At 45.7% G+C, this 23,062-nt stretch overlaps 1 protein-coding gene across 8 annotated transcripts in view; it reads left to right on the plus strand.

Moving 5' to 3' along the window:
* CYFIP2 (cytoplasmic FMR1 interacting protein 2) overlaps positions 1–23,062 on the plus strand; it is a 129,472-nt gene that overhangs the window by 38,262 nt on the left and 68,148 nt on the right. For 7 of the 8 annotated variants that reach the window (XM_011534516.4, NM_001037333.3, NM_001291721.2 and 4 more), the window contains 10 exons: positions 3,377–3,481; positions 5,359–5,450; positions 7,280–7,397; positions 9,960–10,079; positions 10,585–10,710; positions 15,378–15,544; positions 16,271–16,418; positions 19,537–19,690; positions 21,098–21,254; positions 21,787–21,883. In XM_011534516.4, the coding sequence (XP_011532818.1) occupies positions 3,377–3,481; positions 5,359–5,450; positions 7,280–7,397; positions 9,960–10,079; positions 10,585–10,710; positions 15,378–15,544; positions 16,271–16,418; positions 19,537–19,690; positions 21,098–21,254; positions 21,787–21,883 (1,284 nt within the window). Of the gene's footprint in view, positions 1–3,376; positions 3,482–5,358; positions 5,451–7,279; positions 7,398–9,959; positions 10,080–10,584; positions 10,711–15,377; positions 15,545–16,270; positions 16,419–18,557; positions 18,633–19,536; positions 19,691–21,097; positions 21,255–21,786; positions 21,884–23,062 lie in introns of all 8 variants that reach the window. The other variant, NM_001291722.2, reaches the window with a different exon arrangement.

The following is a 23,062-nucleotide window of genomic DNA, read 5'->3' on the forward strand; positions in this document are numbered from 1 at the left end:
CGCACCCATGGAGCCTGGGCTTACCCTCTCACCTTCTTCTTATTAAAAATCCGTTTTAAAAAACAATGTTTCTTTTTTCTTAAACATTGATACAGATCTTACGGCACATAATGGTTTGTAACCTGTTCCTTTCCTGTAATATAATATACCGTAGTCACCTTTCCAGATGTCATTAAGGCTATTTCTACAATGTTATGTGTAATGACTGCCAAGTATTCTGTTGTATTGGAACATTGTCATGTAACATATCCCCTGTGGTTGGATATTTGTTTGCTAAACTTCATTGAACACCCTTGTAGCAGTTTTTGTGCACATCTTTTTGTCAAGGCAAACTTCCTAGAAGAGAAATTGCTGGCTCAAAGGGAAAAACAGAATAAATCTTTTTTTTTATTTCAATAGTTTTTGGGGAAGCAGGTGGCTTTTTGTTGCATGGAAAAGTTCTTTGCTGGTAATTTCTGAGATTTTGGTGCACCCGTTACCCAAGCAGTGTATGCTGTACTCAAAGTGTAGTCTCTCACCCACCTCCCTGCCTTTTCCCCAATTCTCCAAAGTCTATTATATCATTCTTATGCCTGGGCACCCTCGTAGCTTAGCTCCCACTTATAAATGAGAACATACAATATTTTGTTTTTCATTCCTGCTGTTACTTAGAATAATGGCCTCCAACTCCATCCAGGTTGCTGTGAATGCCATTATTTTGTTCCTTTTTATGGCTTAGTAGTATTTCATGATGTATATATATAACACATTTTCTTTATCTGCTTGTTGGTTGACGGGCATTTAGGTTGATTCCATATTTTTGCAATTGTGAATTGTGCTGCTATAAACATGTGTGCAAGTGTCTTTTTCATACAATAACTTCTCTTCCTCTGGGTAGACACCCGGTAGTAGGATTGCTGGATCAAATGGTAATTCTACTTTTAGTTCTTTAAAGAACCTCCATACTAGAAAACAAAATAAATCTTCAAGCTTTTGCTACATTTTGCCAAAGTGATCACAATTGTTTCATCAGTTCACACGTTTCATTCCAGAATTGTCATATGTATTGTTTTGGAAAATCTGGAATATACAGCAAAGCATAAAAAAATTTAAATCTCTCACAATCTCTTCACCAAGAGTTAACACTTTTAGCATTTTCTTTTCCAAGGTGGAGTCTCATTCTGTCTCCCAGGCTGGAGTGCAGTGGCACAATCATGGTTCACTGCAGCCTCTAACTCCCAGGCTCAAGCGATCCTCCCACCTCAGCTTCCTGAGTAGCTGGGACTACAGGCACATGCCACCACACTCAGCTATTTTTTTAAAAAATTTTTTGTAGAGTCAAGGTCTTCCTATGTTGACCAGGCTGGTCTTGAACTCCTGGGCTCAAGCAATCTGCCCGCCTCGGCCTCCAAAAGTGCTGGGATTACGTGCATGAGGCACTGCGCCTGGCCTACTTTCAGCATTTTTATGTACGTCCTTCTAAGTTTTTTTTCTATGCTTATATATTTTCAAAATTTGCAATCTGCATGACCATGTATCCATTTTATCTCATGTGACTAAATTTATTTGGCTATGTTATGCTGCTGTGAAATAATGTGATTTCCATAAGCCTTCCTTAGCCATTATTCCATTGTTAGCTTAGGTTGTCTCTAACTTATGCCCCACAGCTGTAGCACTGACATGAACAGCCTTCTCCCATTCTTTATACACGCTGCAGAGCCCCTTTTGATTCTGTCCCAGATCCTCACCTCTCAATGTTCTGGTGGTTTTTCCTTTCTTCTCCTTCAGTGTCTCTCCTGCTATTCTGAGAATCCCAGCCCTGTGTTGGTGCTCCTGTTTTACATGTCTTAGCACCTCAGTTAAGTTTGCAGGGCTGAGTGGCTTTGAGACTTGTTCACTCTGGCTTCGTCCCAACATCAGAAATCCGGAGAAGCCACTCACAGTTCACATATCCCTCTCACCACTGGTGCTTTGCCTGGGTGATTGCTGTAACTTTCCACAAGCTAAGTCACTACCTACCAGCCCACCAAGTAGTCTTAATGCGGCCTTCAAATTCTCCAGCCCCCCATACCCGGACTTCCCTGCCTTCTTCCCTCTCTGTTCCCCACCCTCTTCAATCTGGCCTTCACATGGTTTTGCCACATGGTTAGTTTGTGTTAGTGAACTCAGATGCCACCGTGGAGCACTGTCTGCTCTTATGCAGAAAACGATGAAGTTCATTCTGCAGAACAAAATATACCCACAGAGTGGCTCACACCTGTAATCCTAGCGCTTTGGGAGGCCAAGGCAGGGGGATCACTTGAGCCCAAGAGTTTGAGACCAGCCTGGGCAACACAGTGGAACACCATCTTGACAGACAAATACAAAAATTAGCCGGGGGTGGTGGCGTGCACCTGTAGTCACAGCTTCTTGGGAGGCTGAGGTGAGAGAATCGCTTGAGCCCAGGAGGTTGAGGCTGCAGTGAGCTGTGATCATACCACTGCACTCCAGCCCGGGTGGGGTGGGGTAGGGAACAGAGTGAGGCCATCTTAAAAAAAAAAAAAAAACCGGAAATGCACCCACAGAGGAAGCAACCTTAGCAGTACCCTGCTCCACCCTGTTCGTGTCAGATGAGAAATAGAGGAATGGAGAGAAGTGACTTTCTCATGGTCACACAGCTGCTCAGGCCCCCTTCTGCATACATGTTAAAAGGAGCAAAACAAGCCAGCATTCAGGAGACTATTAGAAGGGTTGGAATCAAGAATGTCAACCTACTCAGAGGGCAAATTCAGGAAGAGATTTTTTTTAAAAAATTAAAGTCACCAGCGGCTCCTTGGAAACATTTACATTGTCCTTTCTGTGGAGAAAGAGGTGGATACTTTCACATTCACTAACTGTTCAAGTATTCATCAGATGCCTGTATTGTGCCCCACCCTGGGATACAGCAAGGAGCTAGGAGTAGCCCTTTCTCTCAGAAAGATCTAAATGCGGAAATATTGTCAACAGATCCTGTTCAGCTCCTGTCTCTGCTGCTTCGCTGTGTGGCCTTGGCGAGCTGTCTAACCTCCCTGTGTCTCTGATTCCTCATCTATAGAATAAGGTTATTGCAGAGAACTTGACTCAAGAGAAAATCATGCTTATTAAAGCTCTGAGCACAGACTCTGGCCCATAGTAAGGGCTGAAGAAGTAGCTGCTGTAGTAATACACTAAATTTCTGGTTGAAATTAGACTTACATTTCCTGCCTTTATTTGAAGATGCATAGATTTTCATAATATAATGTGTGTCTCTACAGGGTGTGTGTGTGTGTGTGTGTATGTGTGTGTGTGTGTGTGACACATATACAGACCTACCTTTTTGTTTTTAAACTTTTCCAGCAGATGTGATTAGTTTCTATGCTCTGCCCTCTTCTCATTCTAGGTGATGGGCTTTGGCCTCTACCTAATGGATGGAAATGTCAGTAACATTTACAAACTGGATGCCAAGAAGAGAATTAATCTTAGCAAAATTGATAAATTCTTTAAGGTCAGCAACTGGGGCTGGGGCTGGGCAGAGGGCTGAGGTTACCAGCGCCAAGATGTCTTTGGGGGAAAGGGATGAAATGAGCCAGAAAACTGTCAGGTTTTTTTAATTGAGCTGTAGCTCCAAAGATCCCAAGAGTAGGAAGAGGAGGAGAATAGAATGGCAGGGCCTCCAGCTGCCATTGATGGAGGCATTTATGCCCTAGAAGGCTGCTGCATGAAAGCCACACATCGTTCCAAGTTGCAGGATTCAGCTGGGATTTGGCTAGGAGGAGGCCCTGTGATTCTTTTCTGAATGCTGCTTTTTTTTTTTTTTCCTGAAGTCCCTTGTCACTTAAAGAGGTACATCCCAGAAGACAGCACCTGCTCTAATTTCCAGTATAAATCAGAGCTCGCAGAAGTAGAATGATTAAAGACTGGATTTTAAATTGGTTCACATTTGCAAAATCACAGCCTCTCACCTGGTACACCAGGGACCACCTCAGCTTGCCCTTACCTCTGGATAGAATGCCTCAGCAACGTTCATCATATACTCACTGTGTTTCAGTGCCTCTGAGAGTTGATCTTTTGGCCACAGATCTTTAAAAATTTGCAGTTAAACTAAGCCTCTTAGAATTTTGCAAAGGAATCTTACACTTTGGAATTAACTTCCCATGTTCTCAGTTTATTCTAGCATTGGGCACTGCCGACATGGAGCAAGCCTGAGAGGTCAGTCATGGGAAAGCCCAGATTAATATTCACAGCAGAACTCAGTGGTGTGACATGGAGGGCATTAGATCGAGCCTGAGTCCCACTGACTCTTCAAGGTTAAGGAAAAGGAACATAAGTCACTAAGAGGAATCCTGTGCCTTGGCTTTGCTTGTTTTCAAGGGTGGAACTTTTACTTTTCTCTAGAGTTGCCCCAGATGAAAATAGGGCTCATTTTGGGAGACCCTTGCAAAATCTTCCCTAAGTCAGCATGAATGAGATGAGGGTAGAAGAGAAATACAACCTCTCCCTTGGCAGGCCTGGGTGTAAGTCTGGCTCTGCCACTTAATAGCTGGATGACGTTGGGAAAGTCACTAAATCACTGAAACTGAGTTCCAAGTCTGAAAAATATGAATACCAAGGGTATCGGCTCTGTAGCGTTCCCTGGAGGATTCAGTGGGGTTACATAGATGACTCAGAGCCCTGGGTTGTATAATCCTGGCTTCTTGACTTCTAGCTGGTCTGACTTTATGAAAAATCACTTAAGCTGTTTAAGCTTCAGTTCTTCTTCTCTGAAATGGGAATGATAATAGTGCAGACTTCACAGGGCTATTGTGTGGCTTGAGATACTGTTTTTAAAGTGCTTGGCATAGTACCTAGTGCATGAGAAGCACATAATAAATACCAGCCTCCCCGCCATTTGCCCTGGTTTTTGGTCGGGAGTTGTTTGCCCTCTGGTGTTAGGTATTATTACGGTTTTAATTGCTTTGAAAGTACAGACTTTCTCAGGAAGACCAACAGCGCTCAGACACCTGCTTCTAGCCTAGAAATCATAACAGCAAGGATGCTTTAAGCCAGGGAAGATTCGAGTGGAAAGGACCCTGCACTGGGCAGCCATCCATCCAGTCCTTGGCCTTCACACATGCTGTTGGCTAAGTGACCTTGGACAAGTCACTTTGCCTCTCTGGGCTCCGTTGCCTAGAACATAGAGTTGGTTGGAGGCAGGGGAGGACCTATACGCTGGCTAGGGCTCCGTTTGGCTTCAGAGTCACATGGTAGCGTCATCGGAAGCAGAAACTAGGGGTCGGCCCCCAGGCACACACAGAGGCCTGCCTCCCACAGTGGGGTGGCAGCGAAGGCAGCCACCCCAACCCCTCCTCAGCATCTCACGAGCTGTGTTTGCTTCCTTTGCAGCAGCTGCAGGTGGTGCCCCTTTTCGGCGACATGCAGATAGAGCTGGCCAGATACATTAAGACCAGTGCTCACTATGAAGAGAACAAGTCCAAGTGAGTGCCTGCCGTAATGTCTCTCGGCTCCCGCAAGGATGCCCAGCCCGGGCAGAGAGCCGAGGGGCCACTTCAGCCCCTCCTCCCTCCCCAGATCCCTGGGCAGGTGGATTCCATCAGAACACAGGTGCCGGCCGGAGGGGAGCCGCGAGGGTGCTCTGAGCCCTTTTGTATCCGCCCTCTGCTGCCAGCTTCAAAAGGGCTCAGAGCACAGCCACGCCCCTTGTCCAGCCCAGCAGTGACTCGCATGTCCTCTCAGCAGGACAGCAGGAGTCCACCTCGTTCCCTGAAGAGTGGCCAGCCCTCAGTGGTCCAGTGAGGAGAGGTGGCGTTGTTCCTCCTCACACTGATCCTCTCAGGTTAGGTGACCGTGCGCTAAGTCCATCGTGCAGTCGACGTGAATTGGGTGGGCAGCCTCACCTTCGGCCGCTTTATAAACCACAATTCTGGGTCATCTATGCAAAGGCCTGGGGTGTCAGTGCTTCACTGAAGTTGGGGGGCTCCAACCTCTGCTGCTCTTTTGGTCTCTGAGGCTGTTAGGGAGGTTCCTTCTGTGTGCTTCTCGCCCGAAGTTATGGCCTCTCCACACAGAGGGGAACCAGCCGTCCTTTAGTCAAGGGCGAGTGTGTTGGCATCTTAAGAAGATATGAATGGAGTGTCCTTGAACTGCATCCGCCTGGAGCCTCTGCGAACAAGTGTCCAAAGGAAAGCTCATGTAGTCGCTTCATCACCCTCTGGCTGCTAGCGCGTGACGGGGTTTTGCAGGAAAAGCAGGGAATGGAGAATGCTGAACTCATTCCTCACTTTTCCCTGCCTGACTTCTCGACCAGCTGAAGCTGGCTGGGAGCGGAGGCTAGGGAAGTGACTGGGGTTGGGTGTGAGGGGCCGTGTGCTCCCCTCTCCACAGGTAACTCTTTGAGTGATATTGAAGGGAGGCCTGAGGAAGGCTGTCACTGTTCTACCATTCTTGTGAGAACCATATCAGGGCTTCTTTTGAAATAGTAAATTCTCCCCAGAATCTTTCTTCTGCCTTGTCTGGTGCTCATGCTTCATCTGTCTGCTGGGTCACCAGCACCTGAGGGTAGAAGAGGGTGAAGGGAGTGGTCCTTTTTCTCTTGGGGATGGAGAGTGAAGATGTTCATTCATTCATTTCCTCTCTGACTTAGGATGGTTTTCCTAATGACATCTTTTCACAAGGCGTGGAAAAAAGGCGGAGGGAAGGAGGAAAGAGGGTGGAAAGAGAAGGAGAGAAGGGGGCGAGAGGTAGAGGGGGTGGGTGGAGGGAGGGGCCACCCCCACGTCTCAGAGTGGCCCTGGCTTCTCCCACCACAGTGTGCTTCCATGTTGCCAGGGCACTGTTGGAAAAGAGGCACAGTCACATTCATATTTCCGCAATCCCAGCCCAAAGGCCCCCCAAAGCCAGCTTCAACCGCAGAGTGTCTGTGCTGTCAGAGTGGGTAGGCTGGTTTTGGAGGTTGCCCACCTTGCTTTTTCTGTGCTCAGATTCCATCCCTTTGTAGTCCTAGAGAGGCTGTGTTCCCGCCCCTCTCATATTACTGGTAAGTATTATGGACCAGGTATCTGGAAAGGCCTACAGTTGGATCCTAGATGAGGCTGGCACCAAAGAGGAGGAGGAAGGACTGTTCCATTAGGCCTGAAGCTCCCACAGTGTTGGACTTAGCAGGCTTTCTTGCTGAGGCGGCTGGGATACCATTTGGTGTCACCCAGGGGAGTTGGCCACGTGGGCTGAGCACCAGGAGCAGCTAATGCCTGTTCCACCCAGGCGCCTGAGGCTGGGACCCTCTCCGACCCCATAATTTTCTACCCAGGTGGACGTGCACCCAGAGCAGCATCAGCCCCCAGTACAATATCTGCGAGCAGATGGTTCAGATCCGGGATGACCACATCCGCTTCATCTCCGAGCTCGCTCGCTACAGCAACAGTGAGGTGAGCATGCAGGCTGCTGGGGCACAGGCCCGTGGGCCCAGGGCCAGAAGGGGTAAGGAGCAGCCAGGAAAGAACATGGACCCACGGAACACTGGAGAGTAGAAGGGAGGGAGGCAGGAGGGTAAAGTGGCCAACAGCAGGGGTTTTGGAGCCAGGCAGACTGGGGTGAATTCTGGTGGTGCTGCTGCCCTTTGTAAGTTATTCAACATCTCTTTGCTTCAATTTCCTCATCTGTGAAATGAGGGTGATAACAGTATCTATCCTGAAAGGTTCATTGAGAGGATTAAAAGATATGGCAGATAATAAGGGCCTGGTGATGGTTAGTTCTGCCTGTACATGATAAGTGATGCAAACCATCTCCAACCTGGATGGCAAGAAAACAGAACACTCGTACTCATAACGCTACCTAAATGTTTTAAAACTAAACAGTAATAAATGATCATTGTAAAAAAAAATCAGTAATATACTTAAGGGCAGATAAAGGCCATAAAAATCTCCACTAATCCCAATAATTACATTTCATTTAATTTTTCCTTTTTTAAAAACTTTTTTTTTTTAATGGAGACATGATCAGCGCACAAACCTCAGGAAAAAAACCCAAATAAGCGAAAGGAGAGAAAATCACATAAAATCCTACCATCCCAGAACCAACTAAGACTGGTATTTGGATATATATATATCCTTCTGATACTCATCCCATACGTACCCTCCTAATAAATGAATATGCTGTTTGATAAACACTAATCCCCTGACTCAGATTCCTTTATTACATAGCACTCGTGGGTGACTGCGCACTGACCCACGTATGCTCACTGCTTCCACCATGTGGCTAACAGCCATGGTGACTGTACTTTCCAAACCCCAACTCAGGAGATGCCTTTGATCACAGAGCAACGTACCTGAAATGGGGACTGTCTGACAAATGCAAGGCCTCGTGGCCATTAGACCATGACTTGTGGTCATTAGACTTGTGGCCCACAGGGACCAAGGTCAAGCCCAGAACTTTAGCTTTCTAAATATATGTACCAATCCGTTGAACTGAAGTTACAGGAATAACTTATTTTGAGTGCTAGAGCTCTTTTAAAAATTTTTTTTAATATTTTATTTCTTTTTTAAAAATAGATCTCATTATGTTGCCCAGGCTGGTCTTGTACTCCTGGACTCAAGCAATTCTCCTGCCTCAGCCTCCCCAAGTGCTGGGATTACAGGCATCAGCCGCTGCACCCAGCCAGAACTCTTAATTCCTACTCTCATTTTGGTGTGGTCTAAGAATGAGTCTGGCCAAAGATATTTTTTAAAATTATATGCTCTATACATGTTGAGTCTCATTATTCACAGTAGTTCTGTAAAGTGGCCATGAACTCTGAAGTAGCAAATACTGAATCATTGCTCCAAGGAGAAATCAGAGTTACAGCCCTGTGAGCCTCTGGTCACAACATTTTCATCAACTGATCCATATATAACCTTGTTTTATATGTGCTTCTGTTTAAAGACACTTGATGTGATCTCTGTTGTTGATTCATTAACGCATGACCAACAGAACTATAACTCACACCTGAACAAAGCTTATCTAGAACACGTATTTTTTTTCCATAAGGCATGTTACAGCTTTCTTGCACAGAGGAACGCTATATAGCGCATTAGCCCTAAGCTTGGGGGCCATTTTAAATTGAACAATTAGAGTAAAAAGCACAAAAATATAGAAAACATGGCACTAAGTAGACTTCAAAAAAGACACTTGTTTACTGTATGAGAGCTGAAACAAGAAGGCAGAGTCACTTTGTCCGACTTCAGCTGGGAGTGGGTGTATGTCTGCAGATGACTGAGAAATCACCATGAGTGTTGATTTTGGGGTTACAAATAAATTTTAGCCAGTAAGGGAATTCACAAATACAGAATCCGCCAATAATGAGGACTGGCTGTATATGTATATATGTGTATGTACATATATACACACAGTATGTTTGTGCATACACACATATTCTGTATCATTGTGGAATATTATATAGATGTTTATCCACTGCCTTTCAATCAGTGATTCATGTCTAATGAGTTGTGAAATCAACTTAGTGTTTGTGATTAGCATTTTTATATAAATATAGACTAGAAAATCAGAAGGAATCCCATATATTAAGAGTAAGATTGCTTTGTAAAAAATATTGTTGAGGCTGGGTGTGGTGGCTCACGTCTGTAATCCCAGCACTTTGGGAGGTTGAGCCAGGAGGATTGCTTGAGCCCAGGAGACCAGCCTGGACAACACAGTGAGACCCTGTCTCTAAAAGAAGAATAAAAGAAAAACATATTGGTGCATACATAAATTTAATATCTCTATGTAGGTATATGTTCCTGAGTTACTATATCGTGTGCACTTCAGTAATTTATAAACCTTCAGTGATTTATAAACCATGTGGCCTTCAGCAAGGCACTTGTCTGAGCCTCAGTTTATCTGTCAAGGGGATGTAATAATAGCACTTCCCTGCAGTGTTCTTGGGGGAATCAATGAGATAACATATAAAAGTGTCAGGCACATAGACCATGAGTATGACACCTGATGCTCCCCAGGTGGTGACGGGCTCAGGGCTGGACAGCCAGAAGTCAGACGAGGAGTATCGCGAGCTCTTCGACCTAGCCCTGCGGGGTCTGCAGCTTCTATCCAAGTGGAGCGCCCACGTCATGGAGGTGGTAGGTGTCTCTGGGTAGAGGGCCTCACACTGACCTCTCTTTCCTTGGAATCTGCCTCCATCTCCCCCTAGCACTCTCTTTTTAACAGATTTACGGAGTTACAATTCACGTACCATACGATTTACCCATTTAAAGTATAAGTTCATTGGTTTTTAGTATATCCGCAGAGTTGTATAGCCACAGTCAAATTTAGAACATTTTCTTGACTTCAAAAAGAAACCCTGTGTTATCTCCCCTCCCATCTCCCTAGCCCTGAGCAATCTGCTTTCTACCTCTATAGGTTTCCCTATTCCGGATGTTTCACATAAATAGAATCATATGATATGTGGTCTTTTGTATCAGGCTTCTTTTCTTTTGCATACTTACAAGGTTTTTCATGTTGTAGCATGAATCAGTACTTTATTCCTTTTTTCCAGCTGAATAATATTCCATTGCATGGATCCACCACATTCTGTTTGTCCGTTCATCAGTTGATGGACGTTTGGTTTGTTCCCACTCTCCCCAGTACTCTTGGAAGCTGGTTCATCCCACAGACAAGTTCTGCAACAAGGACTGTCCTGGCACCGCGGAGGAATATGAGAGAGCCACACGCTACAATTACACCAGTGAGGAAAAATTTGCCTTCGTTGAGGTAGGTGCAGACTCCCTGCATCTCCCTCCCTCCCCAAGGCTGCAGCTCATGGTGGTTCCTGAGTAGTTCTGAGCAAGAAAACAGCATCGGTTGCCCTAATTTTCGTGCTCTTCCCTGTCCTACCATCTAAATTAATCCGTCAGAAGTTATTCTGCTACTCAGAATTGATTAGAAACTCATTCTGTTCTTAAAAATCCAAAGAAAAACATCCATTCCACTGGAAAAAAAAACGGGCACAAAGAAACCAACAGAAGAAACAAAAGAAAAACAAATGGCTACAAGAGGTATGAAAAATGCCCAAACTGGTCAGTGGTCAGAGAGCTACAGATTGGAATAAGATGGGATACAGTGTTTACCATCAGGATAGCAGAGATTTGACAGCTGGATGATGCCTGTTGCAGGTTAAAGTGCAGGAAATAGACATTCTCATGTCTTTAGTGGTCAGTCTACATTTTGTAGGCTTTCTATGAGAGCAATCTGATTATATGTACTCATGTTTTTAATGTGCATACCCTTTGGTGAAGTTCTTCTTCTGGGACTATATCCCAAGGAAATAAGCCAACTGTGCAGAGATATTTGTACATGGATATTTATCACAGTGTTGTTTATAATACCAAAATATATGAAACAACTTAAATGTTCTTCAATATGGAACCAGGTCAATAAGTTAAGATTCAGCTATATCATTGCATGCTATGCAGTCTCTAAAAAAGGTATACCATGGCTCACACCTGTAATCCTAGCACTTTGGGAGGCTGAAGGGGGTGGATCAGTTGAGGTCAGGAGTTCAAGACCAGCATGACCAACATGGTGAAACCCCATCTCTACTAAAAATACAAAAACAATTTAGCCAGGCATAGTGGTGTACACCTATAATCCCAGCTACTCAGGAGGCTGAGGCAGGAGAATCATTTGAACCCGGGAGGTGGAAATTGCATTGAGCCAAGATTGTGCCACTGCACTCCAGCCTGGGCGACAGAGTGAGACTCTGTCTTAAAAAAAATAAATAAATAAAAAGTAAAAAAATATACCTACATGGAAGGCTATGCTCAGCATATTGTTAAGTTAAAAAAGAAACAATTAAAGAACAGCATATCTGTAGTTTTCATGCAGACAGGGAAGATGCAAAAATATATCTAGAAATAAATATGCATATACACATAAATGTGGATATTTTTAAATATGTAAAGAAATATGTAATATGTCTAAATACGTATATCAACATATAAAAAATAAAAATCCAAATATAGACATTTAGACCAAAAACAGAACAGCATATAAAATGATTCCACTTATACCAAAATATAATATACTTTTATATATTTGTGCAAAACTGAAGGACATAAATATTTATGATGTATACCAAACCATGAACAGTAGTAATTTCTGGAAACAGGTCTGTCTGATTTATAACCTTTTGTATTGTGTTTTGTTTGATTACAAAATGATGTTTCTATTTGGGAGGAAAACTCCTTTACACTAGGTTGTGAGTGACAGCTATTTCTTTGAGGACCATTTGACACCTACAAGAGACGAATCTAGAAATCAGAGACCTGGATCCCAGCCCCGGGCCCTCTGGTCACTTCAGCTCTCAGAGCCTCAGATTCCTTATCTGTAAAATGGAGCTAATCAACCTTCCCCTGCCCCATCCCAGGGTTATTGTGGAGAATCAAACAATAATTGTCAAGTAAGATAATGGATGTAGATGAGCTCTGAAAACTTAAAGGGCCATACAAATGTAAGAGATTAGAGTCGTCATCTCTCCAAGCTTCACTTTAAAGGACTGAGGCTCGGTGGCATAATTTCATAATCACACTTGACATTGTCCTGAGTGGCTCCAGACCCCTTGGCACTTCTATTACTAATGGGCAACCTGGAAGAAAGTTTTGCAGTCATCACCAGAGGACAAAGTCATCCTCAAGCCTATTTAAAGTGAGACAGTCAGAGGGTAAATGCAACTTTATAAAACTATTTATGCACTTATTTCCTTAATAAAAGGGATGCGTATGCACTGTAAGTGATTCAGAAGATGCTCCCGCAACCCACTTCTACCTTCACCTTCCCACAACCTTATATCGTCATCCAAGCACAACCACCAAGAACATGTCACTCTATTTCCATCTAGTCATTACTTTGCTATACATTGGGAGGTTTTATCATTTTTATCTCATTAATAAAACATGTTTAAAAAAATTAAAAAGAAAAGTAGTTCAATGTGGCCTTTAATAATAAAACAAAGCAAAAGTAGTAACCTGCCTGTACCATGTTATTCCATTCTGAATCCCCAAATAGGAAACACCATTCAACTTGTTAAGCGATTCCTTGTGGTATTTATCTCCCTAGTTCTAACAGGCTTATGAGACTATTTCTTGGTTTTTCAGTTTATGACATTTTCTATTGATTTTCTACTTTGGGAAATGAGGATATAGCTCTCTCCTTCCTACCTCCCATCCCTGCAACACACCTGGTTTCCTTCCCCCATCTTCCCATCGTGGTAATTTTACACTTTTTGGTAAAAATCAATGGTTACCTTATTATTATTATAACCAAGTAACTGTTGTCCATCACTGAGCCACACGCTCTAATGTGAATCCATTTATTTTCTTGCACAACTTTTTGTTCTTCATAGAATTAGCAATACTGTATTTTTTATTTTGTTTTCTATGAGTCTATCAAAAAGGCAACCCCAAACCTACCAACAAAATGTAAAACTCCTTACAAAATAGTCCATCACAGTCATCATTTGATGAGTTTTGGTATTATTCTTTTTTTCTTGGAGGCATTCCTCCACAAGCTCTCTTCTTTCCAATCTGCATGGGTTTGTCTCTAGACCAGCCCCGCCACTGATCCAAGATTCTCCTCATTATTTATTATCTTGGGAATTCCCTTTACCTCTGTCCTGTCCTGTATCCCATTCATATATCTTCCTCTGTGAAGTATTGAGATCTTTTGCCCATTTTTAAAAAATCGGGTTTCTGTCTTCCTATTATGGAATTGTGAGAATTCATTCCATATTTTAGATCACAAGTCTTCAGTCAAATATATGTCGCAAATATTTTTTCTCATCAGTGACTTTGCCTTTTCATTTTTTAAGGGTGCCTTTTGAAGAGCAGCTGTTTTTAATTTTGATGAAGTCCAATTTGTCAGTTATTTGGTGGTTAGTGATTTGGGGGTTTCAGCTAAGAAATCTTTGCCTTGTCTAGAGTTGTAAAGATTTTTCCTTTAGATCCAACAGGCCTGCCCACTCCTCTGTATTTGGAGCCATTCTGAGACATCTTCATTATTTACTCCTTCCTTTTTCCTAATGTCTCCTAGTTATATCTGTAGCCAGGGGCCCAGATTCTGTTATGATCTAACAGTCCTCTAATGCTTCTCTCCCATTATTTCTCTGCACTAAAGCTCATCACCAACAAAATTGTTGTACTGTTGGTGCCAATGAAAACCATCACCTCCTGAGTTGTTTTCATACCAGTTCTATCTAAAAATGTTCTTTTTCTTCCTTTAAGTTTTAGAGAAAAAAACAGCCTTAGGGTCTGAGCTCATTCATTCATTTATTTGTTCCTTTTCAACAGAAAATGTGTCTGCCCACCATGGACCCAGACACTGGCAGTTGGGCGTGCACAGCATAGCTGGGCCCTGTCCTGTGTATTTCCAGTCTGGTGTAGAAGGTGGAACATGCCATTATGGGTGTGATCTGTGTGGCAGTTGTGAGGTGGACGATCTGCCACATGCCTTTCCCTCTGAATTCTGAATCAATTGAGAAATTAATATTAGAGGCCAATGGAGTCAAAGGCTCAGACTTACTGCTGGTAAAGCTAGACTAGAGAATGTGGTTTTCACCCAAGGCCACACCAGTGTTCCTATGCCTCCTACATCTCATTAAACTTGCCACTAGGTAATAGGCAAAGCAGCTGCATAGATACACGCCTCCCTTCCTCGGGATGGGCAGGGGATGGTTACTGCAAGAAGCAGCCAGAAACCTAGAAGGGAGGCCACATACTTGCAGGCAGGCAGGTCCCAAAAGAGCGAGCCAAGGTCAGGCCAGGCTCCTCTCATCACACGTGCCTGAATCCCCATCTCTCCAAACAGATAAGTGAGTTAGGGTAAGGAGAAGGGAAATAGGGGAGTAGAGGCATTCTCCCCCATGACTTCTGCAGGAGAAGTTTTGATTTTATAAACTCAAGCAGCAACTGGCCAAACGGTTTCAAAAACAAAGGTTGTAAAAATTCTTTAGAAAATTTTATGTTAAAAAAGTTCTATTTGATGTTGTCTGTGAGTGCCTGGTCTATGGAGAGGCCTTCAAAAGCCAAGGCACTTCTCAAAATGCTCAAATTGTGGCCCATGGGCCAGCTGCTATTTGTCAGCAGTGAACAACAAAATTGGGAGCTCATGCGAGGATGAAAATCAGTTGCATTGCGAAGAATGCTGTTAGTTGAGCTGACATTTGTGTTTTGTAGCAAGACTTTCTCAATGAATGAAGCCAAGTGCTGATATACGTACATTCTGGCACACATCTCTTACCTAGCCATGCGCTGGCACTTTGAGTAGCACTGGCCTCATGCCTCTGGACATCTCACTCCCCGCCTCCCCTGGCAGGGCGGTGATGGGTAGTAGACAGCTGGTGTGCTGGACATGGTGAACATGACCCTTGGCCTCTTCCTGCCCAGGTGATCGCCATGATCAAAGGCCTGCAGGTGCTCATGGGCAGGATGGAGAGCGTCTTCAACCAGGCCATCAGGAACACCATCTACGCGGCATTGCAGGACTTCGCCCAGGTGACGCTGCGTGAGCCCCTGCGGCAGGCGGTACGGAAGAAGAAGAATGTCCTCATCAGGTGGGTTTTCAGATGCCTTCAGGAGCATATCAGACATAAGCATGCCAGGTACCCATCAGAGAGGATGTCCTGGCTCAGCCACTGAACACACATGGGTCCTTCCAGCAAGCTCCAGAGGGCTCTTTAGGAGATTGGGCATTTGGGATGAATTAAGCCTTCATCTCTAGAAGTCCATATCCACTGCTATCTAGCTGTGTGAACTTGGTCAGGTTGCTGACCTTCTCCAAACCTCAGTTTTCCTCATTTGTAAAATGGGGATTATAATGCTACCTGCTGCCTGTTGGGATGATGAAATGAGATGGTCCATATATAGACCTAAGCACATGCAGCATGGAGTAAGTATGCAGCACATCTAAGCTATTATGAAAACTAAGCACACACAGATTTCATAAGACCGGTGAGACTCCCCTATAACCAGAAAGGAAATACAGACCTCTTGCCTCACACAAGTTCTGTCTCACTCGATGGGCTCAGAGCTGAGTTCTCAGACATCCCTTGGACATCAGAACCATGTAGGACACTTGTTTAAACACAGATTCCTGGACTGTACCTTAAATCTGTTAAACCAGAGTTTTGGAATTGGGGCAGAAATGAGCATGCTTTACAAGCACCCCAAGAATTCAAATGTGGGTGTTCCTGGGACACCACGGGCCCTAGAAACACAAGCTTGTAGTGACGTTTTCCCATGGTGAAACCTGGTCTAAGTCTTAGTTCTTCCTTCCCCAGCGTCCTACAGGCAATTCGAAAGACCATCTGTGACTGGGAGGGAGGGCGAGAGCCCCCTAATGACCCATGCTTGAGAGGGGAGAAGGACCCCAAAGGTGGATTTGATATCAAGGTGCCCCGGCGTGCTGTGGGGCCATCCAGCACACAGGTAAGCGGCTCCAGGCACAGGCCAGCTGCGTTGACTCAGAGGCCAGCCGGGCTATGGTAGATCATCATGGCTGGCCATGGGCAGTGGGACTGGGAGCCGTCGGTCAGGAGGGGCAGGGTTGAGTGGCTGCTCCGGTCTTATTCTGCCATCTTGTTTTGATATAGGAAGGAGGACCACTGGCTTAAGATTCAGGAGACCTGGATTCTAGTCCTAGATACCTGTGTGACCTCGGGCACTTTACAGATCTCTCTGTGCCTCAGTTGTTTAAACTGGCTAATGGGGATAATACCACCACATCCACCTTGCCTGGCTATCTTCTAGTCCTATGAAGTATAGATTCCAAAGTGGAGGAGGAGGTTAAAGTGGAATCTATCTGCATGCATCTATGCTGCCCCTCTTTAATAAGTCCTGGCCCTTTCCCCTAAAAGTTCTGCCTCTGACTTGCTGTGTGATCTTGGGCAAGCACCTTGAGCTTTCTGAGCTCTGATTATCTTCTCTGTAAAATGAAAACTTTGGATGAGATTGTGTTACTAACAAAATATTCCTTAGTTCCACATCCTTCCAAAAGTGCAAGTATTGAAAGCCCTTGTCCCCTTAGAGGAAGTCTAGTATTTGGAAACACTCAGAGTTGCCAGCCAGAGCTTCTGCACAAGAGGTCGCCCGTGGCTTATCCAGAGCAGTCATAACGTTACAGAAAAAAAAGTCAATAATCTGGGCATCTTCGTTAAATCCCTGCTACCTACTTAAGGATAGGTAGTTTCTGGTAATATTTTTGATGTACTGGAAAAAGCAGATGGTTCTCATTGCAAGTTTAAGGGTCTCACAGGCCTCACTTCCCATGACCTTTAAGCCTCTCTCTGTTCTCAGTCACCCAAGATGGACCATCTGAGGCCCACCCCCGACCCTTCTCCCTGTGTGTGCGTCTGTGTCTGTGCTGGGGGCTGGGGCAGGGGAGAGGTGGGTTCTCGGCAGGGTCATCTTAACTCCCCTTGGCTTCACAGCCCTCTGCTAGTTTGCACCAATCTCACCGGCTGGTTGTAGAACGCCCCAAGGAAGCGTCTGCAAACAGTTCTGTGTAATATCAAGGGTTGAGGTCCGGGAGACACTGAGCAGGGCTTTCAAGTGTTTCTGTAAATTTTAAGACATGAGTGAGCAAGAGACAGACAAGGCACAAAAGACACTGGAAAGGAGGAGGAGGGGACTTAACAGGCAGAGAGAAAAGGAGAGGAGAGGAAGGAGTATTTGTGTAGATAATGTGAGAGGGGTGGGTCACCAGCAGTAAATCCCGCCTCACCCCCAACCTCTACCAGGTCATGCTAGGTGGCACAGACATGTTGAATAGACTCGTAGACAACCAGAGCTGGGAGCGCTATTAGAGAAACCTAGGCCCTCCCCCTCTCTTGCGGATGGGGAAACTGAGGTCTAGAGAGGGGAAGTGACTTGTCCAAGTCACAAGGTGAGTCCCAGGTGGAGGTGGGACAAGAACCCAGGTCTCCTGACACCCACCCAGGGCTCTGGTACGGTCTTCAGGACACAGTAGACATGGGCATCTTGCATAGTTGGGATAGAGACTGTTTTGGTGAATTAAATGCTCTGTTAAGTAAAAGTACGTGGGAAAAAAGTTCACCTTCTTATGGGTGAAACCAGTTTTCAGAGAATTAGAGTTGGATATCAACTGGACAGCACCCACAACAGATTAGACTTGGATTCTTCCTTTGAGGACTTGAGAGGCCGTCATGAGAAGAGTGCTTCTCGGCTCCTAGGGATGGTGAGACAGGCCCTCCAACAGGGCTGCAGATGGGGGACTGTCTGAGGCACTGACGGCCACTGTGGCTGCTTTCCCACAAAGGAAGCCCTGTGGCAGGGATGGTGGGTCACACGTTTCTGTGGCTGCTCTACCCGCATCAGTGCCAGGCATGTGATGGGGGAGATCCCAGGGAAGCTCCAGAGGCAGCGAAGACGAACGCGGTTGCTGGGAGGTTGGAGTGTCTCAGAGGTGGCCCCCGGCAGTCGCGGCGGCTTTCCCACCGTATACAATACCTCTTGCTTTTCTCTCTCTCTCTCTCTTTCTCTCTCTCCCTCTTCCCTGTCTCTCCTGCCCTCCCATTCCCTCTTCCTTCTCTCCTATCTATGTCTTAGGCCTGCCAGTGGTCCCCGAGGGCTTTGTTTCACCCCACTGGTGGCACACAGGGCCGAAGAGGCTGCCGATCCCTGGTATCACACCGCCTGGCTGGGTTGGTTTGGGTACCCTTCTCGAGGAGGCAGCAGGAATGGACTAGCCTGGCTCCTCAAGGCCCCTTCCAGCCCTAAGATTCACAGACAAATGATGTGGAGAGATCTAGATTAGCAAAGAGAACCACCCCACCGCACTTGCATCCTTTGCACTTAAGGCACCCTGTAAGCGGGAGTTAATTGTCTAGTAGCCTCCTGTGTAAGTACCAATGTTAACCCGCCTTCCACCCTGAACTTCAGCAGGCTGTGCAGTGCAGCTGATGCCACCAAGGGGGCGCCATCGCTCAGCCATGGGGTCAAAACGCTGAGGGTCAGGAACAGGTGTGGGAGGGGGTTCGTTCTGATCTTATCCCATTTCTCAGTTCCTCAGAATGTTAGTGCTGAAAGGGACTGGTGTGAGAAGGCATCTGGTCCAACCCCCTCATGTTACATGAGACAACTGAGGCCCAGAGTGGGGGCTTTGTTGCCTAAGGTCACACAGCAAATCAGCAGCAGTGCCTGGCCTTGAACCCCGGTCTTTTGACTCCCAGTCCAGTGCTCCACCCATGGCATCTGTGGCCCTCTGGGAAAGCAGGGAGTGACTCCAGGGTGACACGTAATGAGGTTCTCCTCTGATATACACGCCCTTGGCCAAGCAGAGCAGGGAGCTACCTGGTGTGGCCAGGTCCACTGGCCCAGGGATGCCACGGGGCCCGGGTTGGCCATGAAGGTTTTCACAGTTCCACATTTATTTCTCAAACCTTAAACTGGTGCTTCCTTAGGACAGTGCTTTTTAAGAGCAGACATCTGCAGAAAAAAAAAAATACATAAATACAACATGAAGCAACCTTTTTCCCCGGGGTAGAGGGCCAGCTTCTGACCTTCTCATCTTGCTTTCTTTTTCAAGCTGTACATGGTGCGGACCATGCTTGAATCACTCATTGCAGACAAAAGCGGCTCCAAGAAGACCCTGAGGAGCAGCCTGGATGGACCCATTGTCCTCGCCATAGAGGACTTTCACAAACAGTCCTTCTTCTTCACACATCTGCTCAACATCAGTGGTGAGCTGCATCCCATCCCTGCTAAGGCATGGGAGGAGGGGATGAGGGCTCTCAGAGCCGCTAAGACCACCAAGCCAGGCATTGCAAAGGGACGTGACCGTTGACCCTAAGGGGCACATATCACCACCAAGGAAAAAACACATACACTTTCCAGTGGGCTTTTGGAGCTAGGAAAGGCCAGGTTCAACTCAGCTGTTCTGACTTAGCTAAATTTGTCCAGGAGATACTTGTGGCTAATTTGTCATAAAGTCCTTAGTAGAGCGGGATCAAAAACAAGAATACGTACATACAGACACACGGATGCTAGACTTTTGCTACTCAGCCGCAACCAAGCGCTAATTAGTACTTGCTGCTGCCAGCAGGGGAGGCTCTCGAGCTGCATCCCAGTCCTGTGTTCTTCACACTTCCTCTCCTTTTAGTAAGATGTATGTCCAGAGCAGAGGAAGAGTAGTATCTCAGGAACATGAGTCTTCATATGTCTGCTGGCATTGACAAGAGTGATTGTAACAAACAGTACAAACTTCTCCATTAGAGAGTAGCCCGGGAAGGGCCTTCAAGGTCTCTAAACTGTATGGGATCTGGCAATTATCACACGCGAGGAGTCAAGGAGCCACAATCCAGTTGAAAGTGGGCACTCGGGGGCCTGTCTTGACACTGTGTTTGTATAATGAACACACTTTTTTTTTTTTTTTTGAGACGGAGTCTTGCTCTGTTGCCCAGGTTGGAGTGCAGTGGCACTATCTCAGCTCACCGCAACCTCCGCTTCCCAGGTTCAGGCTGGAGTGCAGTCGTGTGATCTCAGCTCACCGCAACCTCTGCCACCCAGGTTCAAAGAATCCTTCTGCTTCAGCCTCCCGAGTAGCTGGGATTACAGACATGCACCACTGTGCCCGGCTAATTATTTATTTTTTTAATTTATTATTATTATTATTTTTTGGTATTTTTAGTAGAGACGGGGTTTCGCCATGTTGGCCAGGCTGGGCTCAAACTCCTGACCTCAAGTGATCTGCCTGCCTCAGCCTCCCAAAGTGCTGGTATTATAGGCATGAGCCTCTGCGCCCGGCCACGAGCGTACTTTTCATGCTTAGGTTGCAGGTTTTGTAGGAGAGTGATGGCTTTGTAGGAGAGGGATGGGAACTATAGGGGCATCTAAAGCTCTAAAACATCACTGCCTCCTCTTCTCCCCCACCAGCCCACAACCACTGCCTCTCAAGCTTAACAAATGCTTGAGAGGCAGTAGATGTTAGGCTTGCCTTTAAGTAAAAGAGAGCAGGATCTACTAATCAATATTAGTACCTGCTACATACCTAACACAGTGACAATAACAATGAAAATTAATAAAAACAATGAGAACTAAGGTCTTTTAGTTCTAAAAGTAACCAAAGGCTCGTTCCCTTATGCTTTCAGAAGCCCTGCAGCAGTGTTGTGACCTCTCCCAGCTCTGGTTCCGAGAATTCTTCCTGGAGTTAACCATGGGCCGACGAATCCAGTTCCCCATCGAGATGTCCATGCCCTGGATTCTAACGGACCATATCCTGGAAACCAAAGAACCTTCCATGATGGAGTAAGAGGCAGGATTGGGCCAGCAAGTGGCTCCTGGGGTACAAGTAGAGGGCAGTTTGCCAGGGAGATCCGTTCTTTCCAGAAGGAAGCACTGAGTTGACAAGAAATGAGGCCATATGTCCCACCACAGGGAGAGCTCAGCCAGACAGAATCATTTAATTCAGCCTTGCAGATAAATTCTGAAGTTTCCCAGCCCAACTGCCCTTCCTATGCCTTGTCAGCCTCATAACAGCTATGCTCAGAAAAGAATCATCTCAGGAGCAGGTAGCTTGTATTCTTAACTGCTACCTGATGTGTTTTAGTCCCAAATGAATTTTTACAAGTCTTGGTTTTATTTGCACCCTGGACTTTTTCTTTGGACTGACTGTAAAGTAAGTTGCTTCTAAGCGGTGGAGGCTCAAGGAACGTAAGAGAGGGATGAAAGATGGTCTTTTCCTGACTGTGAACTTGTTTCTATTTCCCAAGCAAGTATAAAGCTGTCTTCCTTAAGGGGGGTTATTAGCAAGCGGCTGGCTGTGTTTTTCCCTCTTCAGGTATGTCCTCTACCCTCTGGATCTGTACAACGACAGCGCCTACTATGCTCTGACCAAGTTTAAAAAGCAGTTCCTGTACGATGAGATAGAAGCTGAGGCAAGTGATGTGCTTCTCTTTTTGCTCCTTTAATCTTGTTCCAAATTCCGGACTTTTCCAGTCTTTTGCTATTAGCATGAAGTAGGAGTATCAGTGACTTGTTCTGGAGAGGAATCTCTGTAACCATGGCCATCAGAAGGCCTGTGTAACCTCTGAGGGCAGAAGTACAAACTGAGACACCCAGCTCAGGGCCTGCTGCCTTTCTCTTCCCACCCACAAACTCTGTGCTGCACCATGAAGGGCTTCATGTGCATGTGTATAAATACCCAAGCTCTGCCTGCCAACTCTGCTCAAAAACAGTGGCCCTTGGCTAGACCTAAACCCTAGGGTCACACACACCCATAGTGGAGTCCACCCTCAGAGGGGAAGCCAGGGAAGAGAGCACGTGGCCCTGGAAGAGGCTTGAGCCGCCTGTAGAAGGCTTCTCAGAACTGGTTCTAGAAGGGGAGAATGGGGCCTGAGTGCACACGCCCACCTTGACCTTATGGATTCTTTGCCTGGAGGGAGGTCCGCTGATGACCCTTGAAGCTCAAAGTGCAGGTCAGAGGCCTCGGTGACCTGGGTCTGAGGAAAGCACTAAACACAGCGCTGGGGTTTTGTGTTCTGCATACCACGTAGGGTGTGAGATGAAAGATCTGAAAGCTTTTTGAATCATTAACCTTATGGAGCCAAGAGTCTGGTGAAAAAAGGACCAAAGGTTAATCACATAAATATTAAACATGAAAGACTTAAAATATTAAATCTGACAGTAAATAGGATCTGTTTCCTTTGACTCTTACCTAGCTACTGCCTTTGCCCCATCTCATGGTCATGTCCTGCTCTTGCCATTTCTGAAATATTTGGTTTGATTCTTCATGTCTGTGTGAATTATCTTCCCACCTGAGCATCACAGTCTATCACTGATGATGAGACCCTGAAATGGCAAGACTTTATTCATTAAAAACCAAAGTTATGTAAGCAAAGTTTGAAGGAAGGCGCTTTTAAATGTGACTATCAACTTCATAAACAAATTTGTGGCCACATGTGGTGGCTCATGCCTGTAATCCTAGCACTTTGGGAGGCCAAGGTGGGTGGATCACCTGAGGTCAGAAGTTCGAGACCAACCTGGCCAACATGGTGAAACCCCGTCTCTACTAAAAATACAAAAATTAGCCAGGCATGGTGGTGGGTGCCTGTAAT

The sequence above is a fragment of the Homo sapiens genome, chromosome 5 (assembly GCF_000001405.40).
Source record: "Homo sapiens chromosome 5, GRCh38.p14 Primary Assembly".
NCBI lineage: Eukaryota > Metazoa > Chordata > Mammalia > Primates > Hominidae > Homo > Homo sapiens.